General features: G+C 35.4%; 1 protein-coding gene and 1 pseudogene across 4 annotated transcripts in view, besides 1 other annotated feature; both read right to left on the reverse strand.

Moving 5' to 3' along the window:
- The window catches only part of SGCZ (sarcoglycan zeta), a 1,153,587-nt gene that overhangs the window by 402,521 nt on the left and 725,079 nt on the right, over positions 1-25,987 (reverse strand). The window lies entirely within an intron of this gene.
- On the reverse strand, positions 411-514 carry RNU6-397P (RNA, U6 small nuclear 397, pseudogene; annotated as a pseudogene).
- Positions 776-1,528: an enhancer, noted in NCBI's record as "OCT4-NANOG hESC enhancer chr8:14345650-14346402 (GRCh37/hg19 assembly coordinates)". NCBI's record gives its function as "activates a minimal SCP1, AML or CMV promoter by ChIP-STARR-seq in naive and primed H9 embryonic stem cells {active_cell/tissue: H9 hESC(naive and primed)}" and the evidence as "EXISTENCE:reporter gene assay evidence [ECO:0000049][PMID:30033119]".

Below are 25,987 nucleotides of genomic sequence, written 5' to 3' on the forward strand. Positions count from 1 at the left end.
TATAATATATTATGAGACAAATGATGTATGGCAAAGTATAGCACTTTATGCAATATAGATACCATAACATTGCCTCTCTTACTTTATGATTACTTGTTTCTCACCTAGATGTGCTGATTTGTGCTATACTGTTCCTTCCAGATTCTAAGAGTTTGAGTCTTGAAATGCTTTTGACTTCAAACCATTGTTCTTCTGTTTAGTGATAATTTATTTCAATTATGTTTCTTAGGGGTAAAATATTACTTGAGGATGGTTTAAACCTATAATATTGCTGAATCCTCAGCTGATTTTATCTTACCCCAGAGAGAAATTTCTTTGGCCAGGTGCCTGAGGGAATTAGTAATCTCAGAATTACTAATACTTAATATAATTTTAAGGTATTCGTACCTCAGTGCTACTTTTTAAAAACAGAGATTGTGTCACAAATCCAAATCTACATGTCATCTTTGGACAGGGGGCCTGCTAGTGTTGTCTGTCTTATTCCAATTGTAGCACATGTACAACCGAAGTGAGCGTCTTAAGGACTGGCGTTTCTACTCTGTAGTAAGTGTTATGACAAGTTTAATTCTGTTTTATCTTTTCTTTCAGGACACGATCTTTTGGCTTTCCAGGAAACCTCAGTGGTTAATCAGGAACCCCACTTTTGAGAAGCTTTAAAAAACAACTTTTCTCCTCCTAAGTCCCTGAGGCTCCCAAATGTGCAGCTCAGACTTTTGGTGGCTTCTCCAGAAAAGTAAATTCCCTGACACGAAAAGAGTTCTGAACGCTGGATTCCCCTTTTAACTTCTTCTGGTCCTATCTAAATCGTGACCTGGTTGTTCCCTACTGTCTCACTAGTTTGATGATATTATTAATAAAACAAACAAAAACACATTTGTTGTCCTTTTATTAGAAGCCCAGGATTGATGGATTGATATTAATTCTATATTGTATTATGGATAAAAGTTTGAAATTCTGCGTCCCATCGCCACGGTTAAAGTAAGCTGTTTTCATCCATTGCTTATGAGCAAGAGACCACAATGGCCTTAACTCCCCTCCAGCTAGACAAAAGTTTAAAGAGGTTTCCTTCTGATGCTAGGCCCTTCGCTTGTGCTTCCTAAGATTACTCACTTCAATAAAGTTGCAATTGCCCCTTTGAGATGTAAATCATCCCCTAGCCTCTAGCCAGTTTTACAACATGGAAATGCCTCTCAAGGATCTCGGAGCTAACCCATTGAAATGTAATCATCTAGAAAGACAGTGCCCCAATCTTTCCATCGCTGTGAGAAGTTAGGAACCTAACTTTCCTAAACTTCAATTAGAAAACACATGTGGCCTAATCACATTGACCAACCACTCTCCTAACATCAAGCAGTAGACTTCCCTCGCTAATGCAAACTCTCCTGCCTTTTGTTTCAGCAGAGTTGAATTCAATCTTTCTCTTTATTGCAATAATCTTGACCTCTTTTGCAATAGTCTTAAATAACATTTTCCCCACCTCTTTAACACCATCTCTTGCAATTTTTCTTTGACATTTAACTAAAGATTAATTAGTTCTGGAAATTTACCCTTTTTTTCCTCCATGGATTCAGCAGCAGTATCTAAAAGAAAAAAATTCATCAACCAATTATATATATATAGATATACATAATATATATGTATATATATAATATAAAGATAAAACACTGCAACCAGTGGAACTGAACATAAAGTAATTCAAATTCACAGAACGCATCTTTTTTTTCAGGCTTTTAATTTTATTAAACATAAAAGGGCAATATAAATTCCTGTGCATGTCACCTTTTACTTAAGAATTCATTAACAGCGAATTAGTTTAACAAGGCTGTTTTGCAAGAGGCTGTGGTTGCATTCAAAAATTAGAACGGGAACAACGATTTGTAAAAATTAAACATTTTAAACTACCACTTACTACATTCACTGTGTCTACAATTTGGCATATTTCTTTCGGTGGCCACAAAATTATAAAATGGACACAGAATAGGGTCTTCAAAAAATTAAGGACGTTCTTTCTTCTTAACAACATTATAAATATAATTCAAATAAGCATGACAATTTTACCAAATAGATTGACTTTTTTGCTTCAAAGAACACATTTGTACATGTAAATTAATTTTGGTCAATATGTGTGAGTGCATGTGCCTGTGGATGTAAATGGCAGTAAAGGGGAAGGTGGAAAAAAGGGAGATGGTCTGGCTTTTTTAACCCACTTTTTAAACGCCCAAAACAGAGGTACTAAAAAATAATGATGTTGTGAAAATAAAGTATTGCCAACTAGAAAAAAGACTTGAAATTGGCATATTTCTTTCTTATATATTATTAAATATATCGTAAATATAAATCTTACACAATTTAGCTCCCCTATCTCCCAGTCTCTGTGAGAGGTTAGGAATCTAACTTTCCTAGGCCTCAGTTAATAAACACATCTGGCCTAATCACATTGACTAACCTCTCTCCTAACATCATGCAGCAGATTTCACTGGCTCGCCGAAAAATTCTCCTACCTTTTTTTTTTTTTTCCTGAGATGGAGTCTCGCTCTGTCGCCCAGACTGGAGTACAAGTGGCACGATCTTGGCTCACTGCAACCTCCGCCTCCCAGGTTCAAGAGATTCTTGTGCCTCAGCCTCCTGAGTAGCTAGGATTAAAGGTGCATGCCACCACGCCCAGCTAATGTTTGTCTTTTTAGTATATATGAGGTTTCACCATGTTGGTCAGGCTGGTCTCAAACTCCAAACCTTGTGATCCACCCGCCTTGGCCTTCAAAAGTTCTGGGATTACAGGTGTGAGCCACCATGCCCGGCCAACTCTCCTGCCTTTTATTTCAACAGATATGTCAACTTTTACATGGTACAATAATTGTATAAGATAATATTAGATTGAATCTCACAATCACACTCAGCTTGATTACTAAACTTTCTCCTGCTTCTTGCTCACCTAAATTTACCTACGTTTTCTATGAATAGAGTAGTTTAGAAATTTATGTCTTCTGTGCATTATAGTGTAAGTTATTGTAAGATAGAAATATGGACTTTCTTTGAATCCCATTTTCTGCCTAGGAAATACCAATATATTTTGAGTATGATAAGTGTTTCAAAGCATTCAAAAATGAACAATGTAGGAAACACACTGCAAAATGAGGTCTGATTCTCATCCCCTTACTCTTAATTGCTCTTTGTCTCTCGTCTCTCTCTGTTTCATTGATGAGTATAAAAGATCACTTTCATATGATATTAAAATTCATAGAAATAAGTGTTGATTTGATCATCCAACCAATCATTTATTGAGTGTCCATTACAAGTCAAATTGTGTTCTTGAGAACAGCTCAGGAAATGAATGTTTGACACTGATGTACATAACAGAAATGCAAACATACCACTAAAAACATCAGACCTCTTATGACAATCCAGATTCTCATGTAAGCTCTATTAAGCTCTTTCAAGGTGAGAATTGATCATTTCAAAAAAAAAATCATTTTAACAGGTCATTCTTGAGACAGAAAAGTGGAATTAGAAGCTCATATATTGCTGTTTCAGGAGCTAAAATCTTAAGTGCTGTATTTAATCAATTGACAGCCATATAATTCTTAGTTTTATATACCGATATTCATCAAAAATTAAAAACCTTGAAAATTATTCCTGTCTCATTCTACTAATCAATTTAAACATTTCATTTATTTTGTTATGTTTCCTCATTTTACTTGGCCTTGAATACTTCTTTCCAGCCCAGTATTAAATTTAATTGAGATCTAATTTGTTTACTTGGTTTAGTTACTTTTGACTATGTTTGGTACATGTCTTATGAAGCAGGTATGTAGGAATGTTTACAAATTTATGGTCCTCACTCCTCCAAAGCCCTAATGGCGATACACCGAACAGACACATACCACAATGTAAACACACACACACTCACCCACCCACCCACACACACACACACTCCAGTGGATCAACACATAAAATACTCTACAGGCAAAAACATCACACATCAGGGATCTCTCAGTGTATTACTCACTTCTGTAATTTATCAGGACTGTTCAAATGAGGTGAGTCTGCAGAGATTTCTAAGGCGATTTGAGTGCTAAGCTGTCTAACTAGTGGTTGGACACTATTTGAGTAATGTACCAAACATAACTCTCAAGACTGTGAAGAATTTATGTACTTTCCAATAAACAAGGAGTTACAAGATCCTAAAAAACACAAGTTTTTTATATCCTTTAATAGATAAAGGAAAGCTGATATCAATATGAATATATGTGTGTTAATGTTTGCTTGCTTGTAGTATACATTTTTATGTTACTGGGAGTAAGAAACATCTTACGGAAAAGAAGACAAGAAATAAAATTTTCTTTGTTACACTGTCCAGTAACTCTCCACTGCACATGTAGGCTATAAATTGATGTCTTGGGGAACCACTTTGGTATTTCATTTTAATAGCTCATTCTGGAGAATATATTTGAATGAATCATGTATTACAACTGATTTAAATTTTGACCCATTAGAAATGAGTTCTCAAAAATATGTCTGAAGCCTGGATACTGTAAAATCCTTTATCATCACAGAATAATAAATTGCTAGCCATTAGTTACTCAGAAATTGTTCAATAAATCTAAGACGACTTAGATATAAATAGTTATGAGCGAGTATGTCTCATCATTAATGTTTGTAAAAATTAATGCTGTCATTTATGATTGAGAATAAAAAACGAGAAATGAAACTTTGATAGAAGTAAATGATAGATATAAACTTTACATAAAGCGAGAGAATAATAGATGTGTTAAAATGTTTATTTTATAGATAAGATTTATGATGAAATTGTGTTGAATAACATGAATCCACCAGCAGTTACATCATCACAACCTTTTAAATATTCCATTAACTTCAAAATGTACTTATCACTGAAATAATCTGATTAAATGAATTGGGATAATGGGTAAGGATTGGTATAAGCTGAAAGCAATACTGGACTTTAAAAATTATGTTTCTTTGTGTATTACATGAGAAAATATTGTTGATAAGTTAATTACTGCACAGTGCTTATTATAACACTTAAACCTGGAAGAAAATCAGTAAATGTTTAGAGAATAAAATTGGTGAACTGCTTCCATTTTATACTATTTCCTGTTTATTTCAGTGCTTACCCAAATTTGCAACTCTAAATAAGGCCCAATTATTTACTCCTCAAATAGCACAAGATTTACGAAGAAAAGTGAAAGCTTTTTTTTCCACTCAAATATTCTAGTCTCTATCTGCTCAAATTTCTCACTAACTTTTCTTGAGTCTAGTACAAGTACTGATCTCAAGGCCACTGCTACCACTTTCACCATCTTCTGTGCCTCAAGGCTCAACCTTCCTCATTTACTTCAGTGAATTTGGAAAAGTTCCATTTCGTGATACTTTAAGCAACCTGGACGTCTCTTCACTAAAAGTGGTATTCTTCCTGTGTTCCTATGATTTTTTTCCAGAAAATGATATCAACCTCTACCTACACCTGACATCTCAGTGTAATTCTTGACATTTCCTTCTTCACATTTCCATTTCCAATCACCAAGTCTTTTCAGATTTTACCTTCTCTATAGTTCTTGAAATAATTTTTCTCTTTCTGTCTTCATTGCTATCATGGGATCTAACCCCCCAACTCTCTAACCTGGGCTATGGTGACCACCTCTAAAGTGCTCTCCCTGATTGTCTCTCCAAAAAATGTTTCTCTTTTCTATATCCAGAATGACTTACTCAAAATGCAAATACAATTTGCATTGTAAATTGCTCTGTTTAAAAACTCCCAAAGACTTTGCATTGGTAATCGGATGAATATCAAGAGTCCAAAATAGTGTTCAAGCAGTACAAAATCTGTTCTTTGTATTTCTCCCTCCTCTCCTCTGATGACATGAACCTCCTCAATCTGAATGATTCAATAATATTTTATTCCTTAAATGTAAAATACTTCTTGTCTTCTGGACTTTGGTCTTCTTATTCACATACTTTTCCCACTATCATCCTTTCTTTTTTTTTTTTTTTTTTTTTTTTTTTTGATGGAGTCTCATTGTGTTGCCAGGCTGGAGTACAGCGGCATGATCTCGGCTCACAGCAAACTCTGCCTCCCAGGGTTCAAGCGATTTTCCTGCCTCAGCCTCCCGAGTAGCTGGAACTACAGGTGTGCACTACCACACCCAGCTAATTTTTGTATTTTTAGTAGAGATGGGGTTTCACCATGTTGGCCAATATGGTCTCGATATCGTGACCTCATGATCTGCCCACCTCAGCCTCCCAAAGTGCTGGGATTAGAGGCATGAGTCACCGTTCCTGGCCCTACTATCCCATATTTATATAATCAGCTCTTAATCTTGTTTTGGTTTGCTCTTCAGTCTTTCCCACCAAGGGAAGCCTTACCTGGAATCCCTAAATATGAAAGGCTTTCATAAGAGTGGCTTTCATAACAGTGTGTAACTTTCCTCCGTAGTGGGATTATTTTAGTTATAATACTGTTTTTATATTTTTATTACTATTTATAATAGATAAATCCAAGCACACTCTTTGGCAATAAGTCTAATGGACTTTTGATACAATTACTAATTCAGTACAAGTACTAATTCAGCCATGATTCCAGAGATTGAGAAAAAAATATGCAGCAGTAATCTGTCACAAGTGGAAGGACAAATAACCAAGCAATAATGTACTACCCATTCATCTCTTAAAAACAGGGTTAAAATATTTGTTCGCGTGTTTTCAGGAGGAAGCATGGACAGAGTTTCTTGCTTCTTATCCTCCCAACTCACTGTTTCTATGAAAAAAGTAATTAATCTGATAAACAACACAGAAAAATTTGGTGTTTACTGGCCTGCATTAACAAGATGGTGATTCCAAGAAGTTGAAATAAAGAGACTTCAGAGCCTGTCTCTCTCAATCACTATCTTTGGGCTTGTGAAATTGCTTGTTACACAAAATAGGGAGCACTTGTGTAAGACCTGCATAGGGTGGCTCAGCCCGGCTACTGTTTTCATGAATTCAACTTTTCCAAGAGTGACAGAATGTCAGAATCCCATGAGCCAAAAGTTTTATGATGAGAGAAGAAGAATGATATTTCACTCCCTAATTTTAAAATTAGGTTTTAAATAAAGTTAATAAAGTTAAAGTTGATAAAGCTGAATACATACACACATGCACACACACAAACACGCACACCACACACACACACGCTCCTTACAGCAGTTTTTCAATGTTTAATCATTCATGAGAAGTTGTTTGATTTTGTATTTTCAATTTACCAATACTTGCAACAGGCTCTGGCTGCAAAACTTTTTTCAGTCAAATAGTAGCATTTGAGAAACAACGTTGTTGCTGAAAGATAGAAGATCAGCCTTAACTACAACATCAGTAGACTTGTGACTGTTTGTAACCAGAGGGAGGTAAATGGCTTTCAGATGGTTGTGTAGCTGGTTTTTGCAGTAGCCTGCAGTGGCTGTCTGATAGACATAAACCTTACTATTTATTATTAGACTTCAGAGCATTAATATTAGATTTTAATTTGCTTATGTTAGGCATGAGAAGGTAGCATTATCCTTGCTGCCCTAAATATTGTTCCTTGTCACTTTTTCCCATTGAATTTAAAGGTAATTTGGGGAATGTGTCTAACGTAACCTTATATCCATGTGTTTGCCATAGGTTTCTGGAGCTCCCATTCTGAACATGCTCCCCAGTTGATTCTTCATGGGCATAAATTTAAATTTATGGAGGATTGTTTCGTACCTCTCAAGGAATGTGGATTCAGTACCAAGCGCTTGTAGAGTTTATCAAAAAGAAGATAAAGAGGAATAAGAGTTCCTGCTTTATGGGAACATATTATCTTCTTTGGGTAATGCCTATCAGTACTCCCTGAAAAGCTGGAGTGTTAAATGTTTGTAACCAGTTCACAATGAGAGAAGTAGCTTCCACTAGAAATTAAATCAATACATTACTTCTTTCATTGAGTAACTATTGCTACAAAAAATATGTCTGCTGAATAAATTAGCATGCTTATTGACATAACTGATTTGCAGACTGTAATAGCAGTTTACGGACCAAACACTAAGCCCCACTGAAAAATCAAATAGAATTATTTGACAGTTAAGTATCACTGAAAAAGTCTGGCTTTTGATATCAGGAAGCGATCAGATTGATCATATGTTTTCAGCATGTAGTCATAATATAACTGTATATCAATAGTGTACATTTGACCCTTTATATTATGCATTTTACATATATTTTCTCATTTAATCCTTCATTACAAGCACAAGATACAAAATAGATTTGGATTTAATTGCTTCATTAAGGTGAAAGACCAAACCCTCATTACAATGCTAATGTCAGAGGTTCTTCTTCCAATTAAAACAGAAAGTTACCAAAGGTAATTGCTCCTGCCATAATGAGACGACGTTAGATAAACGTTTTTTTGAAAAACTGTATTTTTGAAGCCATCCAAAAGCTATGGGCCTAAAGTTTCAGGGGACTAAATTTCAGAGAAAAACAAGCCCTTCCTGGGTGATCACAGGCCAGCAGCTGAGTCCATCCCTAAGGACATTTGTTGGATCTAGGGACTTGAGTAGACAGAAGAACAAGCCTGAAATGTACAGAGAAACAGCTGGAACACTGGGAATACACAAAATATTTAATCTACAGAACACTGCAATAGGGGCTGGAAATTGGAAAGATCGTGTGGTCTCCTAGTACTTATTTATTTTCATTTCTTAAGGGATAGGCTCTCATTCTGTCACCCAGGCTATAGTGCAGTGGCGTGATCATGGCTCACTGCAGCCTCAAACTCTTGGCCTCAGGCAATCCTCCTGCCTCAGCCTCCTGAGTAGATGGGACTTCAGGTGCACAACATCATGCCTGGCTAATTTTTAAATTTTTTTTTGGAGAGACAAAAATCCACTACGTTGCCCAGGTTGGTCTGGAATTCTTGGCTTCTTGTATTCTTTCTGAGTTGGCCCCACAAAGCACTGGGATTACAGGCATGAGTAAACATGCCTGGCCTCCTCTAGCATTTAGATGCTAAATTCTGCTGGAAAAAGGAGTACAAAATGAATACAAGTAGTAAGTAGTATCTTGAGTATTTTCTTCCCATACACCCATGGGAGTATTTGGTGCATCTTACTACCTCACGTACACCATTCTTTCATCAAACTATCCAAGCTAAGTATTTAAATTTAATTTTTTCCCTACAAGAAACTCTATGCTAAAGCTCATTAAGTTTGATTTTGAGAGTCTCTGTTTTTGTATCACAGTTGTAGAAAATTAATCACATTCTTTATTTTTTGAGACATTATCATTATTGTTTCCTAGAAGTTTCTCTCTGGTTTTACTTATTTATTTAATTCTTTTATTCCTTTTCCCTAGCCATAGACAGGCACTCTCATGTGTTTGATATAGGTTCTTTACTCTTAAAGAATTCTTACAAAATAAGAAAGTTGTTTTCTCAGTGTCTGTGTGTGTATAAACAAGAGTGTATACATTTTTCTTAAAGAGTATTATGATATACATCTATTTTATTTCTAATTTTTTTCACAGAGCATAATGTTCTTCATACATTCCCACATTGTTGTAGGTTCTTTTAGGTTGTTTATTTCCCTGTAGCTGCTGCATAGTTTTCAATAAAATGAACCCACCACATTTTCCCCTATGCAGTCTTGCAGTAGAATTAACACTGACATCCAGCTACCATAGAATTCACTTCTGTAAATAGCCTCCTTATGAAGACATCTTTTGGTTACGCGTCACAATCTGTCAGGGGTTGTGTTAGTCCATTTATATTGCTATGAAGAAATACCTGAGGCTGGGTAATTTATTTTTTAAAAACAGAGGTTTATCTTGGCTCACGGTTCTGCAAGCTGTACAGGGAGCATGGCAACGACATCTGTTCTTGGCAAGGCCTGAAGCTTATAATCATGGAAGAAGGTGAAGGGGAGCCAGCGTGTCTCATGGTCAGAGAGGGAGCAAGAGAAAGAAGGGAGAGGTCCAAGTCTGTTTTAAACAATCAGATCTCTCGTGAACTAATGGAGCAAGAACTCACTTACCACTAAGGAGATGGTGGTAAATCAAGCTTGTTTGACTCACACCCTGCAGGCTGAATGCAGCCCAGGACAGCTTTGAATGTGGCCCAACAAGAAGGTGGCCCAACACAAATTTGTAAGCTTTCTTAAAACATTATGAGCTTTGTGTGTGCGTATGTGTGTGTGTGTGTGTCTGTGTGTGTGTGTGTGAGAGAGAGAGAGAGCTCATCAGCTATTGTTAGTGTTAGTGTATTTTATGTGTGGCCCAAGATGACTCTTCTTCCAATGTGGCCCAGGGAAGCCAAAAGACTGGACATTCCTGTGCTAAACCGTTCATAAGGGATCCACCCCATGATCTAATACCTCCCACTGGGTCCCACCACCAACATTGGGGAACGCATTTCAGCATGAGATTTGGAGGGGACACACATTCAAACTATATCAGGAATATACACCCAACAATAAGACAGTTAGGTTGTAGGGCATGCATAATTTTAAATGGGTCCTGCCATATTATTTTCCAAAATGTTTACAACCATTTACTTTCCCATCCATTGCCCATAAAGGTTGTTTTTCCTCATATCCTCATCACACAATATCATCTATAAGTTTTATATTTTCTAAGCAAGTGGTGAAGATACATATCACATTTTATTCATGCACATTGGCATTTGTCAGAGTGCTGATATCATATTGGGATTTTGGGGGGCCCATTTTTCTAGTGAGTTTACTATACTCTTTGTTGATTTGAATGTCAATAATAATCACTTTTCTCTATCTAGGCATTGTCAACATTTTCTATTACTCTGTCATATGCTGATAACTTTGTATGCCAGCCTTTGATGGAATGAATCCTTAAAATTTTTATAGTTCTTCTAGAGTTTAATTTATATTTTAAATGGAATTTTTTGGTTTAGTAAATCTTTTATTAAAGTGTAACAACACACCACAATTTGTATTTTGTTGGGTTCCTTCAGACTTAGAATTCTGATACATTTTGGTTGATATACCCTTTTTATCATAATGAAGCATGGCTATCATAATGCAATATGAGTGGATCTAGGAATCTATATTGACAACCATGACAGAAAACATTATTTTTGCTTTCAATCATAAAAAATAATTTTAGAAACAAAAGAATAACCCATAACATTTACTTAGATATTTACCTTTCTGTTCTTTAATTCTTTTGCCTTTTCTTAACTTAAATATTATTCACTTATTCCTTATTTCCTTTTAACTTTTTCTACATTCATGAGCTATTATTTTAGTGGTTATACTAGTCATTATACTGTTTAACACTTGTTGATTAAAATTGAATATGTTATTACTTATTTGTGTTACTCATAAGTTCAGAATCTTATTTATATTAATCCCTGTGGCTAAAAATTAAAAACATATATTTTAAATCTCCATATTATTGTTTAATTTTTGTGCAATATTTTGCATCGACCCAGATATTTACCCTCATATGTGTTCCTTTTGAATGTCTTAGTTTCAGGACATTTCGATGTCTTAGTCATTTTTTTTTTTCATGAAGAATTCTTTAGTCTTGCCTATGACACCAGCAGTATCTATGAATGGTCCAGTTATGCTAGAAAATACATGTATTCTCTTTAAATTTGGTGATTATTTCCACCTACTATGGTTCCCACTGGTTTGATCTTCTCCATTTAATATTTTGACCTCTTATTATTTTATTTTAGTTGATCATTCATATCTTCTGTTATTTGCTTATATTGCTTGATGTATCAGTTTCTAAGAATTTGTGTGAAAAATCTAATTATAGCCATGGATTCTTTATTTCTACCCATATCTCTATCAAATTTTACTTTATATATGCAAGTTCTACTTCATATTTGTGAATTGGGTAAATTTCTTTTCAAAACTATTACATTTTCTTAACATATTGTTCCTTGTACATGTATTAGTAGACAATGTCTTAACTTCAATTATATTTTATCACATATTTAGGACACAACATAAATTTTCTTTTGCATCATATATACCTGTATTTCTTTCTTCATCTTTTTGGTTTTCAATTCTCTGTATTATTTTATTTTGTAGATTATTTGCAACATATATTGCTGAAACTTAACTGTTGCAATATAATCTGAGCATTTCTGTTTGTCATTGGCTCCTTTAACTTATTTGAATTTATTACAATTCATGCAATTTTATGCTTAATTTACTGTATTTTCAAGCTAGGCAGCCTTCCTCCTTTCACTGACTTTCATTTGACAGGTCAGAATTTCTTCTGCTAGTTTAAATTTTAAATACTTTATTTTTCTTTTTCCAGTGTTTGCCTTCAAATTTTTAAATTCTGTATTTATTTTGCACTATAATTTTCAACACCTGTATCTTCCCCTTATCAATTTGTATATAGATATATATCAACTGCCTTCCTTTGGCATCCCCTAGCTTCCAATTACTATACATCACTAAAATTGTATCCTCAAGAACAGCTCTCTTCAAATAGTATGCTTTGAGAAACACATAAATATTTATCAAGGGGAACTTGGACATTTTTTCTAGATCCTCAAATTCTATTGGCATTCTTTCTTCATACTCTACCACCTACTGTCTTACAAAAAAAAACTTTAAAAAATGAAGGGACATTTAAAATCTTTTCCTTAACATTACAATTGCCTCTAGTTTAAAACCTTTAGAGCACCCATTAAAAGGGTACTTGAAAACACGGAGAGGGGAATTCGCTAATTGGTAACTCACAATCATTAAACTTGGGCTGGGTAAAACTGCTTGAATTTCTTGTTTCATACATACTTTGCCAAGTGTAAAGAATCGCTTAAAATATAATATATTTTGACTTTTGGTGGGAAATTCTAAAATCAGATGTAATGTAGTTTGAGCACGTGGAGTACCCTGCTTTTGTTGTTGTTGTTACAATCTCAGTTCTCTCATCAGGCGCCATTGTCAGAAAAGCATTGCTTTTGAGAAAGTATCTGAGAGCAGGATGGAAGCAGAGCAAATAAGCAACAAGGAGAGCTAAAAATGGCTTTTTCACAAATCTAAACAAAAGTTTGTCTTTCCAGTTACTTTTTTTTTTTTACTATTCATTAGAGAATGCCTAATTAGCTAGGAAGAAAAACATTTTAAGTAGACAAAATGGTTCTGCAAATAACAATTTTTTCAAGATACAGCAAAAAAAGTCAACCGTGAGTTTTCTGTGACTTTTGTGGAGATGTGGGTATAGCTTACTCACTACGAAAGATAGGATTTAATTTTTAAAGCATATAAAATATATACCTGTATTATTGACAGTTCTAATCTTAGTTGATAATGTAAAATGTTGATTATTTCCCATGTAAAAATTACTATCAGCCACTAAGACAAGTAAATTTTAGTAGTATATGCCTTACTTGTTAAAAATTAACTAGACAGGAAATTGTGGTATCTATATCCAACAAGTTAGTGGAGTTTTTCTGGTTTTCATATGTAACTCTTATTTTATCTTCTCAAAGACAAAAAGTAGTTCAGGAAAAAAACACATATTTAACCAAAGGGAAACCATGAATAATTATACACCTGTATTAGTTTATCATTGCTGGTGTAAAAAAAAAATTACAACAAACTTAATAGCTTAAAACCACAAATTTATTATCTTAACAGATCTTGAGGTCAGATCTTTAAAGGGATCCTCAATGGGTCAAAATCAAGCTGTTAGTAGGGTTGCATTCTTTCTAGAAGCTCTTGGGGAGAATAGGTGACCTTGCCTTTTCCAGCTTCTAGAGACTGCCCCTGTGGGATCATGGCCCCTTTAATTTTAAGCCAGGAGTGTAGTATCATAGAAACTCACTGACTCTTCTGCTTGCCTCTTCTACCTATTAACATCCTTATAATTGCATTGAGTCTACCTGAATAATCAACGGTAATCATCTTCTCTAAATGTCATCAGATTAGCAATCTTCATTCCATCTGCAGCATCATTTCCCTTTCGCCAAATAACCTAACATAGTCACAGTTTCTGGGGAAGTCGATACAGGAGATGTTATTTTGTGTACAATCCTTGATAAATAATTTAAAATTTTAATACATACTTTATTTATGCCTACAAATTAAATATTGACATATACCATATAAATGTATTTTAGCTCTTATAATTTACAAATTAGATGAATTAATCATACAAGAGATCTATATCGTTGTAAACTTGACTGCTTTTCATAATCTATATTATAGATGAAATTCATGATTTAGTTATCCAGGTTTTTTTTTTTTTCAGGTCCCTCAAAACACCTAATATAGCATGTATTAGACACTTCTTGAAGAAAGGTACTCTGATATTGGACAATAGTGATGTCTGGCCTTGCTGAGTGATGCCTGGCTTGGCTAATTTGGTTGTATAGCAGACTATTCCCTCCAAAATTTAGTATTCTAAATACAACTCCAAAATTTTAACCCAAAGATAATTATAACATATAATAGGATGAGGTAAGTGATTTCTATTTTAATATACATTTGCCAATATAATATCTTTTTATTGGTAAATGTATATTGAAATAAAAATCACTTTATATGTTGAATAAAAATTACGCTTAGAAAAGAAAATGAAGCGAAAAGTATAATCCATAATCATTTGACAGGATTAGTTTGGGTACAACCTTTTTTAAAAAAGTAATTAGAAATTAAGAATGTCAATTATTCTAATAAGTGGTAACAAATTCTTTTGTTTGTCAGGTAGTTTACAATTCTTTGCCTTCAACACAATTGAAGGAGAACCTAGAATTGTTAGCTAGTAAGTCATTAAGAATTATTTTTCATGATGGATCCTTGTATTCTTGTGAAGCATCTCAGAAAGATTTCAAATAATTAAGCGGCATCAATACAAAAAAGGATTTTTATTCCATTTTACTTACTCTCGAGACTAAGATTCTACTGATCTTAGATCAATAAAAATGAAAAATAGAAATAGAATTGAAGTTGAACCATGTCTCAATCAGGCAATAAGTAATATTTATTCATGTACGCATGAATTTATCAAAAAGTAAAGAATTCTTCATCTCATTTAGGGTTATATCTACAATACAACTTCACTTTTGATACAGTTTATTTCTCAGAGTTTGGAATACAAACAATATATTCATGTTATAAACAATGACACTTTTAAAGTATACTGCTAATAATAGTGAGAAAATTTTTGCGATCTATCCATCTGACAAAGGGCTAATATACAGAATCTATAAGGAACTTAAACAAATTTACAAGAAAAAAAACAACCCCATTAAAAAGTGGGCGAAGAATAGAAAGACACTTCTCAAAAGAAGACATTTATGCGGCCAATAAACATGAAAAAAAGCTCATCATCACTGGTCATTGGAGAAATGCAAGTCAAAACCAAAATGAGATACCATGTCACGCCAGTTAGAACGGCAATCATTAAAAAGTCAAGAAAGAACAGATGCTGGCGAGGATGTGGAGAAATAGGAACACTTTATACTGTTGGTGGGAGTGTAAATTCAACCATTGTGGAAGACAGTGTGGTGATTCCTCAAGGATCTAGAACCAGAAATACCATTTGACCGAGTAATCTCGTTACTGGGTATGTATTCAAGGGATTATAAATCATTCTACTATAAAGACACATGCACATGTATGTTTATTGCAGCACTATTCACAATAGCAAAGACTTGCAACTCACCCAAATGCCCATCAATGATAGACGGGATAAAGAAAATGTGGCACATACACACCATGTATTACTATGCAGCCATAAAAAAAAGAATGAGTTCATGTCCTTTGTGGGGACATGGATGAAGCAGAAACCATCATTCTCAGCAAACTAACACAAGAACAGAAAGCCAAACACTGCATGTTCTCACTCATAAGTGGGAGCTGAACAATGAGAACATATGGGGACAGGGAGGGGAACATCACACACCGGAGCCTGTCAGGGGATGGGGGGCAAGGGGAGGGATAGCACTAGGAGGAATACCTAACGTAGATGATGGGTTGATGAGTGCAGAAACCACCATGGCACGTGCATACCTATGTAACAAACCTGCACATTCTGCACATGTATCCCAGAACTTAAAGTATAATACAAAAAATGTATAAAAATAAATAACACACAAAACAATAACGCGGCCAGTCTCAGTGGCTCATGCCTGTAATCCCAGCACTTTAGGAGGTTGAGGCAGGCAAATCATGAGTTCAAGAGATCGAGACTACCCTGGCCAACATGCTAAGTCCCAATCTCTACTGAAAATACAAAAATTAGCTGGGCGTGGTGGCCTGTGCCTGTAGTCCCAGTTACTAGGGAGGCTGAGGCAGGAGAATCGCTTGAACCTGGGAGGTGGAGGTTGCAGTGAGCCGAGATCACACCACTGCACTCCAGCCTGGTGACAGAGCAAGACTCCATCTAAAAAACAATAATAAAATAAAATAACTCAACAGAATAATTTTTAAGACTTGCTCTGAAAATTTAAAAATACATTATTTCATTTATAGACTTATTTGAAGAGATTTATAGGTAATCATTTAAAACCTTTGAAGTTTAAAATATTATAACAAAAAATTGTGCAGTTGAAAATGAAATGAAAATGTAAGTTTTAAGGGGAAGAACAGTGTAAAAATTACTGTATTTTACATCTTATGAGTTATTTTAAGTGAACATTTTATCTGCCCTTTATTTCTCTAAAGTTATCATTATTTTTCCAAAGAGTTCTTCCCTCTGTTTATTTTTCTTTTTTGTCTCAATTATATTTTTATTTCATGACTGATGACAAATTATGGTAAACAATGTTATGTGTTGATACAACTGAGATCTATATCTGCTACAAGAGGAAAATTCAATTTGCCTTTAAATGTCATCTTCAGATTGCTTTGGTTGTGCCTGCATTCTGTTTTTAAAGTATAAAAGATTTTAAATCTCTGAAATGACTTCACAAATATCTTTTTTAATATTCAATCTTTAATTAATCAGGGCCCATGGGGGCTAGAAATTCTGATTAGTTATCTGCTCCAAATCGTGATTAAGGAAACCTTCATAAAACCACAGCATGATGGATTTAAAAGGAAGTTTATAGTTACAGTGAGTCTAAAACCTAGATATGCATTAGTATCACCTGCTTCACTCTATTGGTTTCTTGATTTATTTATTTATATTTGTCATAGACTTTTATTATCTACCTGTTGTCACATTGGCATGCCTTTCTTTCTTCTGCGTTATTGCCTTTTTCTTTTCTCTTGTTTCTTTGTTTTTTCTGTTCTTTTATCTTTTTATTTTCTGTAATGTACAAAGGTCAGGTATCTTTATGTATTTATTTTGTTCACAGATGCCTGACATTCTTCAATAGATATCTGTTCAATTAAATACATATCTCTTACTTCTTTATGGCACTTCTGCTTTCTTCTGGAAGAGGTCCTAGCCTGTTTCCCCTCAGCTGAAACCTTTTTGTGATTTATATCACTCAGGGCTGTCTTCAATTGAACCATTATATTTAAAAAACAATATTTCACTTTCCTCTTTCTTTATAAATTGTGATTCCTAATTCTTTGTTATCAACATCTACCCTTTACCAATGAAAGAAAATGTGTTATGGCTATTTATAATGTCTGAACTGTCTGTTGCATTGCTTTTTTCGGTTTGTTGCAGTTTTGATACTCCTAGATATAAAATTTATTAAATTATAAAATATGGAGGCTGAGGCATGAGAATGGCTTGAGCTCATGGGTTCACGACTGTAGTGGGCCGTGATCATGCCACCACACTCCAGCCTGGGTGTTATAGTGGGACCCCATCCACCCATCCCAAAAATTATATATATAGAAAATATTTTTTTTCACTGAGTTATTAAAGGTTCTTAAGTACTCTGCATATGGTTTATTGAAGTTGTCAAGTACACTTTGAAATATGTGTATATGTGTTTGAATGTGTTTTTTTAGTGTTCCTCCTGGTATGATGCAAGTGTAAGGACATAAAATGCCCCAGAGTAAAGAGCGCCAGTTACCAGGGCAGAGTGCTTCCCATTTTATAAGGCTCTGAACTTCTCTGAAGTTATTCTAGCAAATCCAAGCGCAGACAATCCATTGTTTCTTTTCTATGTTATGGCAGTAGTTGAGAAATTAAGGATACTCCCTGAGAAATGGCGTGATAAGAGCAAAACATATATTCACCATTATACCTATGTCAAAATGCAAATCACATAATCTCAGCTTTGTATCTTTCTAGGTTTTCTCATCTTCCTAGTTTTTATGTTAATGTCTTATATGTATATCTCTCTTCATCTACAATTGTTCTCTAGGACAGAATTTAAAAGATAAACCAGCAGGACATGCCAGTTAACCACTGTGTTAGGAAATCACAATTACTGGTATCCCTGGCCTCAATTGGACCCTTAGTATTTCCAGACAATCATACTATATATATTTCCTAGTGTAATGGTTCTCAAAAACTGGTCCCCATACTATAATGGTGAACTTCTTAGGCCCCATCGTATACTTAATAAATCAGAAACACAGGACTCGGCAATCTGTGTTTTAGCAAGCTCTTCAGGTGATTCGAACGCAAGCTAACTGTTCAGGATGGTCCAAAGACATTTACTCTCTCATGTGCCTATGTGATGCTATGTCCTTCCCAAACTTCCAAACATACTTTCTCATTCTTCTTTTTTTTTTCATTCAATGAAAAGCAATCTAAAACAATTTTCTGGGCCAGGTGCAGTGGCTCATGCCTATAATCCCAGCACTTTGGGAGGCCGAGGCAGGCGGATCATGAGGTCAGGAGTTCAAGACCAGCCTGGCAAGCATGATGAAACCCTGTGTCTACTAAAAAACAAACAAACAAACAAACAAACAGAAACAAAAAAACGATTTTCTAACAACAAACTCCCACCACATCCACCATATGTTTGTGCAGCATGGAAAACTTGTGTTCATATCCTCTATCTTCTCTCTTGTTAATACCACCTGGTCAAGGTCAACCTCTCCATTTGTACATTAGCTCCCGTTTCCTCTTAGCCACTCAAAGACATAGCTCCAGCTCCACTATCTCTTCTATATCATCATTTCCCCTCTCTACGGTATTATCCTATTGCCATTAAATAACCAAACAAATAAACAAAGAAACAAACAAAACAAGTTATTAACTTATTCATTTAAAAAAAAAAAGTCAGTCTCCTAATTCCACATCCCTTTTCATGTATACCTGGACACCTAAGTCTCCCTTTCCCTTCACAGGCAAAAACCTTGACAAAATTTTCTTTTTGTTCCATCTCAAATGTCTCTTTCCCCTTCTGTCTGGACTTTAATCAGGCTTTGCCTGCCCTTCCCCATTTATAATGCTGTGATCAAGGATATCAATGGCTTTTATGTTACTAAATTGAATGGTCCATCTCAGCGTTCTTTTTTTATTTAAACCAACGACAGCACTTGACATATGTGCATCTCTCTTCCTTGAAAATCCTGTTTGACTTCAGGCAGCCCACATTCTCTTAGATTTCCTATTTAGCTTAGCCAGCCCTCAGTGTCCTTTGCAGGCTCCTCCTCATCCCCTTGCCCTTTAGACTTTGATGTTGACCAGGCCTAGGTTCTCAGGTCTTCACTGTTTTCCAGTCACATCTTTCCGTGATCTTATCTCAACTCAAATACATAAATACCATCTCTATGCTAAGAATTCCCAACTTTCAATCTCTGTGATTGCCTGATCTGATCTTGACAGCTCCACTTGGATGTCAAATGGGTAACTCAAAATTAACATGCCAAAAACTAATCTTCCCTATCTTCCAAACTGTATTCTTCTTTGGACTATTCTCTTTCACCCACCATATCCAATCTGCAAATCAAGTCAACTCTGCATTCAAATACTGCATAAGTATGTAGCCATTCGCACCAGCACTGCTACTGCCAACTTGATAAAGGCCACCGTCTTTCTTACACTCCCATAGCATTCTCCATCCCAAGCATTCCATCAAATACCTCTTTGAGAAGCACAGTTTTGGGGAATCTGCCTGTATAATTAAAATCTTCTAATACATCCCTTTTCTTTCTCCTCCATCCACTGAAGTCTACCTGTAATTTATTAGATACAATGATCTACACAATATGTCACATGCCTTCAAAAATTCTCCAATATCTCATTTAAGCCAAAATGAAAGCCAGTAATCCTACAGAGTCCCCACATCATCTTGAACCTTTTTATTCTCTGATCCAGTGTTTTCACTTTTATCACATATTTATTGACTTTGCTTCTGCAACACTGGTATTTTTATACCTGGAACTTGGCAGTGATGCTCCAGTCTCAGATTCTTTGTCGATGTACTTTCTGCATGGAATGCAATTCTTCAAGTTTTCTATGCTTACTTCCTCACTTCTTTTAGGTTTTAATTTCTACATTGCTGTTTTTGTTTGTTTGTTTGTTTTTTTGTTTTTGTTTTTTTTTTTTTCGAGATGGAGTTTCGTTCTTGTTACCCAGGCTGGAGTGCAATGGCGCGATCTCAGCTTACCGCAATCTCTGCCTCCCAGATTCAAAGGATTCTCCTGCCTCAGCCTTTCTGGTAGCTGGGATTACAGGCATGCGCCACTACACCTGGCTAATTTTGTATTTTTAGTAGAGACGGGGTTTTTCCATGTTGGTCAGGCTGGTCTCAAACTCCCGAAATCAGGTGATCTGGCCGCCTCGGCCTCCCAAAGTGCTAGGATTACCGGCGTGAGTCACTGCATGCAGCTCACATTACTTTCTTCGTGAGATCTACCCTGGTCACTGTATTTGAACTGCAATCCCTTGCCATCTTCATTTTCCCAAGAACTTACCAGTACCTAACATACTATGTAATTTACTTTTCTATTCTTCACTGTCTCCCTCATTAGAATTGAAGTACCCTGAGACCAAGAATATTGGACTCTTTTGCTCCCTGTTCTATGCCCAGCATGTAGAACAGTGTCTGGCACATATGAGGACCCCAAAATACATTTGTTGAATGAATGAGTAAAATAGAAAACCCCTATTAAAAAACTCTAAAAATATTGTTGAGGGACTAAATGTATTTTAATGCTGTCATTTTAACAGAGGTAATTCTAAAGTCTGAGAAGAAAGAAGATCCACCTGCCATGACTGGGACCCCAGAGACAGAACCCTCGGAGGCTTTGCATGTTAATCTTGTTTTCCAGTCTGCCACTTGAACTAGGCATGTTCATTTTTATAAGGTGGATGAATTAATTTCTCCATATCAATGGGGAAAATGAAAATTCCATAAATGTGCCTTGGTGGGTCACTAACTTTCCCCATCGGTGGCATTCCATCAAAAATCTGTTTGAGAAGCACGATATGAAATAAAGTATCTGTCTAGCTAATATGGGTTACACTGGAACAGTAGCAACGTTGGTTGTCAAGTTTTAGACTAAATTAGTTTTAATAGGCTTTACCGTTTCACATGTATTTATGTGAAGAATATTCTTCAATTGCTCTGATTTAAGAATAAAATGAAAATAGGACCACTCTACTATTTGGATGATTACATTTTTGGGTGCTTAAGTGAAATTAGGATTAACTAAATGATAATAGAAGGATATTTTAATTGCATTACTATTTTACAAACATCAAAATATGTAGTACTTATTGATTTACTGGAAACAAATTATACAAATTCAAATATAAGGTTTTTTAGTGTTAATATCGAACTTTCAAACACTCTGAAACATTTGTTCACTCTCATTAGATCCTGGGATTAACATAATAGAGAAAGATATAAGGCTCTTTATGTATTAAACAAAAACTAGGAAATTAGTACTGCATCATTAATAGTAAATTTAGACTAGATTTTTTGCTGTATATGTGGTCATAAAGCTTCTAAACTTAATACCATTATTAGGAAATTGATTATTTCCAATGCTTAAGATTGTACAACCCTTGTTAATTCAAGCAAACATGTAGTCTGTAATTTAAACTTTGCTATTTGTTCAGCTAACGCAAATAAAAACATTATATGATCAAATATCTCTATCACACCATTTGCAACTTAAATGCAAAAGTGAGTTAAAATGACAGAAAATGATATAAATAATTTTAAAACCTTAATATAATTGCTTTGGATATGATTCTTACTTTTGCTTCCAGAAAAAATATGATGTGCCCAAATTTATATTAACTGATTAATCTGCTGAAGAATCATTACTTTGCACTGCTACACACAACAGTCAGCTGTTAGAGGTAAGCTAATAGACTAGAAATGTTTAAACAAAAGCAATTTCGCACCAGAAGAACATGAACCATCATCTCCAAGGTGAGATGGATGTAGAGGCCTTTTCACTCCCACAGAACTTCTTAATGCCTGTATTTGTCCACTTTCACACTGCTATAAAGAAATACCTGACACAGGGTAATTAATAAAGAGGTTTAATCGACTCACAGTTCCTCATGACTTGGGAGGCCTCGGGAGACTTACAATCATGGCAGAAGGGAAAACAGTCACATTTTACAAAGTGGCAGGAGAGAGAAGAGGGGCAAAGTGGGGAAGAGCCCCTTATAAAACCATGAGATTTCATGAGAACTCACTCACTATCACAAGAACAGCATGGGGGGACACGTCCCCCATGATCCAATCACCTCCCTCCCTCAACAGGTGAGGACTATGGGTCCCTACCTCAACACATAGGGATTACAATTTGAGATGACATTTGGGTGGGAACACAGTGCCAAACCATATGATTCCACCCCTGGCCCCTCCCAGTAAAATAATTCCCAATGCAATGAAGAAGGCAGAACAAAGACTTTCAAGAAAAGAAATTTCCTCTGCAACACTCAGAAAAATATAATTTCGTATTTACAAATACCTAATAAGTTTTGAGTTTATTATTAAAAAATTCTCCTTTATTTAAAATTGTTCTTTTATGGAAGTAAAATAAGAGGCAGACTGGTGGAGTAGAAAGTAAACTGAAAATGAGAAGACTGAAGTTGTAGTTCAAGTTCTGTTACTAGCTAGATAGGTTCTCACATTCCACCTCCCATTGGAATTAAATTAAAGTTAAAGTTATTGTTTTGTAATGTATAAAGGTTTTCCAATTTCAAAATCTATTACTATAAAACCTATCTTTGTCCTGTAGAAAAAAAAAACAAAGAAACTTTCTGCTTTGTAACAACAGATGTCACAGATTTTGATAACCTTGATGATCTACTGGTAAGCTAATAACAGAGAAAAAATGGAAATTAAACTACAGCTGTCTCTAGCCCACCTTTGCTTCCTATGGTTACGCCATCATTCAGATTTTGTGAGTAAAATACATTGGTAGAACATCATGAAGTGAGGCCTGTAAGGGCAGATATGAATGAAAAAGAAGACAAATAAATATTTCTCCTTGATTGACAAGGAAAAGAATCTGTCTCTCCTTCCCTTGCCTCAGAACATTTACTTTAGAAAACTTGCAGTTGTGAATCGCATTTTGCTCCTTTGAGTTATAAGAGAGGTATGTAAATAAAAAGCTAAATAAGCCTTTTGCCAGTTTTACAACTGAGAAATGTCTTCATTAAGGACTTGGGAAGCATCTTTTTGCAATATAGGCATCAATGAAGATAGTGGCCTTCTCCCAGTTTCTGAGAGAAGGTGGGAGGCTAACTTCAGCTGGTACCCAACTCTAAGTTGAAAACCTAACTGTTTTATAAAGATAGATAGAAGATATTTATTTTTCTTTTGGATAAAATCAACGAGCAAACACAGATGGTTACCCAAATCACTAGGTGAATTTAGGATGAATTATGTGTCACAAATGGTGCTGTCAAGTACCCTTACTTGAGGACTAGTAATTGTTTATCTTGAGAAATGTATGCCATGGGCTCTATCTGCTTGACTATATAAAACTACGAATTTTCTTTCTGTCTTGGCAGTCCCTGTAGGGAAAGCCTGTGATATATATCACATTCTAATGCAATGATTATTTAATAATAAAAATTGTCTTTTTTTAAATCTTCTACTCTATGGCTACGTTTTATGGATTGGGAGATTTTACTTTTAATTATATTTTCCCAATAGGCCCACTGCACAGAGAGATGATTTAACAAAATCTGTATCTTCATTACTGCCTAAGAGCCAGAGAAAAACTGAGAGTAATTTTTAAAAGAAGAACAAGCATAAGTGGACCAGCAAATGTGGTACAATGCCAAAACTGCTTAAGAAGGTTGGCCAGTGAGAGAAGATTCCAATGGAAGGATAGGCTAAAACAAAATAGAGATCTTATAATTAAATATTAAGATTTTTGGATTTTATCCTATATTTTCACAAAGTAGCTAGAATACAAATATTTCTACACTAATTATATTTTAGAAGTGAAAAACTCAGATGAAATGTGAAAGAATTTAGGGAAGAAAAGGACGTTAAAAATCCTATAATTAAATTAATCCAAGTTGTTAAGTATGATTGTATAGCCAAAGTTACTGTAGTTCCCAAATTCCCCACCAACTCTTCTGGAATTTCAGGATATTTGCTAGGTTAGGCTTGTTGTTTTTAACTCTTAAAGGACAGGGTATCCCTTGATTACATCTGGGTACCACCAACATAGTCTATAGATTATTAGTAACAATTTTTTAATTTGAAAGGTTTATAGATTTTATATAATAAAGGTTGGAAATAATAGCTGAACTCTGGAGGATAAACAAAGCTATAAAATTAGGGTTTTAAACATAGGGCAACATTCTTGGATGTGAAATTTTCTAGACTATCAAATATCCATCACCACAGTAATAACTGACACCATGAAAACTAAAACTTAGCCCTATCAGAGGATTTTTTGAGCTGAGTATTTTCTACTCTGTTAGGAAATGGTACTGACCACAGATAATCTGAGTAAGTTGGATGCTTGGAAACCTGATGGTGGGCCTTAAAAGGAAGACGCTGAAGTGCCTATTAACATAAGCAGGTGGAAGCTGAGTGATTAATAATGCAAATATAAGAAGATCTATTTATACCTTAAGAAGATCACACCAATTACACCCATGAAGATCTCCAGCTTATCATAAATTCTTCCTTGCCTATCAGTATGCCTTAGTTTATTTTCCATTGGTATTTTTCCTCTTCATCCATAGCTCCTTGTGTATTAATGTAGATTACAGCTGATGCCCCAAATCCATTTATTTATTTATATTTTAGAGACAAGATCTCGCTCTGTTGCTCAGGCTGAAGTGCAGTGGCAGGACGATAGCTGACTGCAGCCTCAAATTCCTGGACTCAAGTGATCTCCTGCCTCAGCCTCCAGAGTAACTAGGGCTACAGGTACAAGGCATTACACCTGGCTATTTTTTTTTTTATTTTATTTTGTGGAGACTTGGTCCCATTATGTTGCCCAGGCTGGTTTGAACCCCTGGTCTCAAGTAATCCTCATGCTTCAGCCTTCCAATGGGCTGGGACGATAAGTGTGCATCACCACACCCGGCTAGATGCTCAAAATTTAATATTTAGAGTTTTAGAATTTAAGAACCTGAAGGAACTTTATTAATTGTCTACCCTGGTGCTTCTGAAGTTTCATTGAAGATAAGTCTTCTAGTGTGCTTGTTAAACACAGATCCTCCCAGCTACCTCCCCTGGGGACTCTGATTCTGTAAGTGAGGAATGAAGCCTGATAATGTCTATTGTTAGTAAAGATCCACACTAATTATTCAGGGATATATGCGGGAAAGCTGATAAAGTTCCAAATCTTGTTCGTGCCTTGCTCAGGCATACATAGTAAGTCTCATAGTCTCACAGTGAAGAGTAACACACAGGTTTATGCAGTGGTGCAATCAAGCTCAGTGAAGCCTTGACCTCCCAGGCTCAAGCAATCCTCTTGCCTCAGCCTCCCAAGTAGCTGAGTCTATAAGCATGTTCCACCACTCCCAGCTATTTTTCTTTGTAGAGACAGGGGTCTCCCTATGTTGCCCAGGCTGGTCTTGAACTCATGGGCTTAAGCAATCCTCCCACCTTGGCCTCCCAAAGTGCTGGAATTACAAGCATGAGCCACAGTGCCAAACCACTATTACCAGTTTA

The sequence above is a fragment of the Homo sapiens genome, chromosome 8 (genome assembly GCF_000001405.40).
Source record: "Homo sapiens chromosome 8, GRCh38.p14 Primary Assembly".
Taxonomy (NCBI): domain Eukaryota; kingdom Metazoa; phylum Chordata; class Mammalia; order Primates; family Hominidae; genus Homo; species Homo sapiens.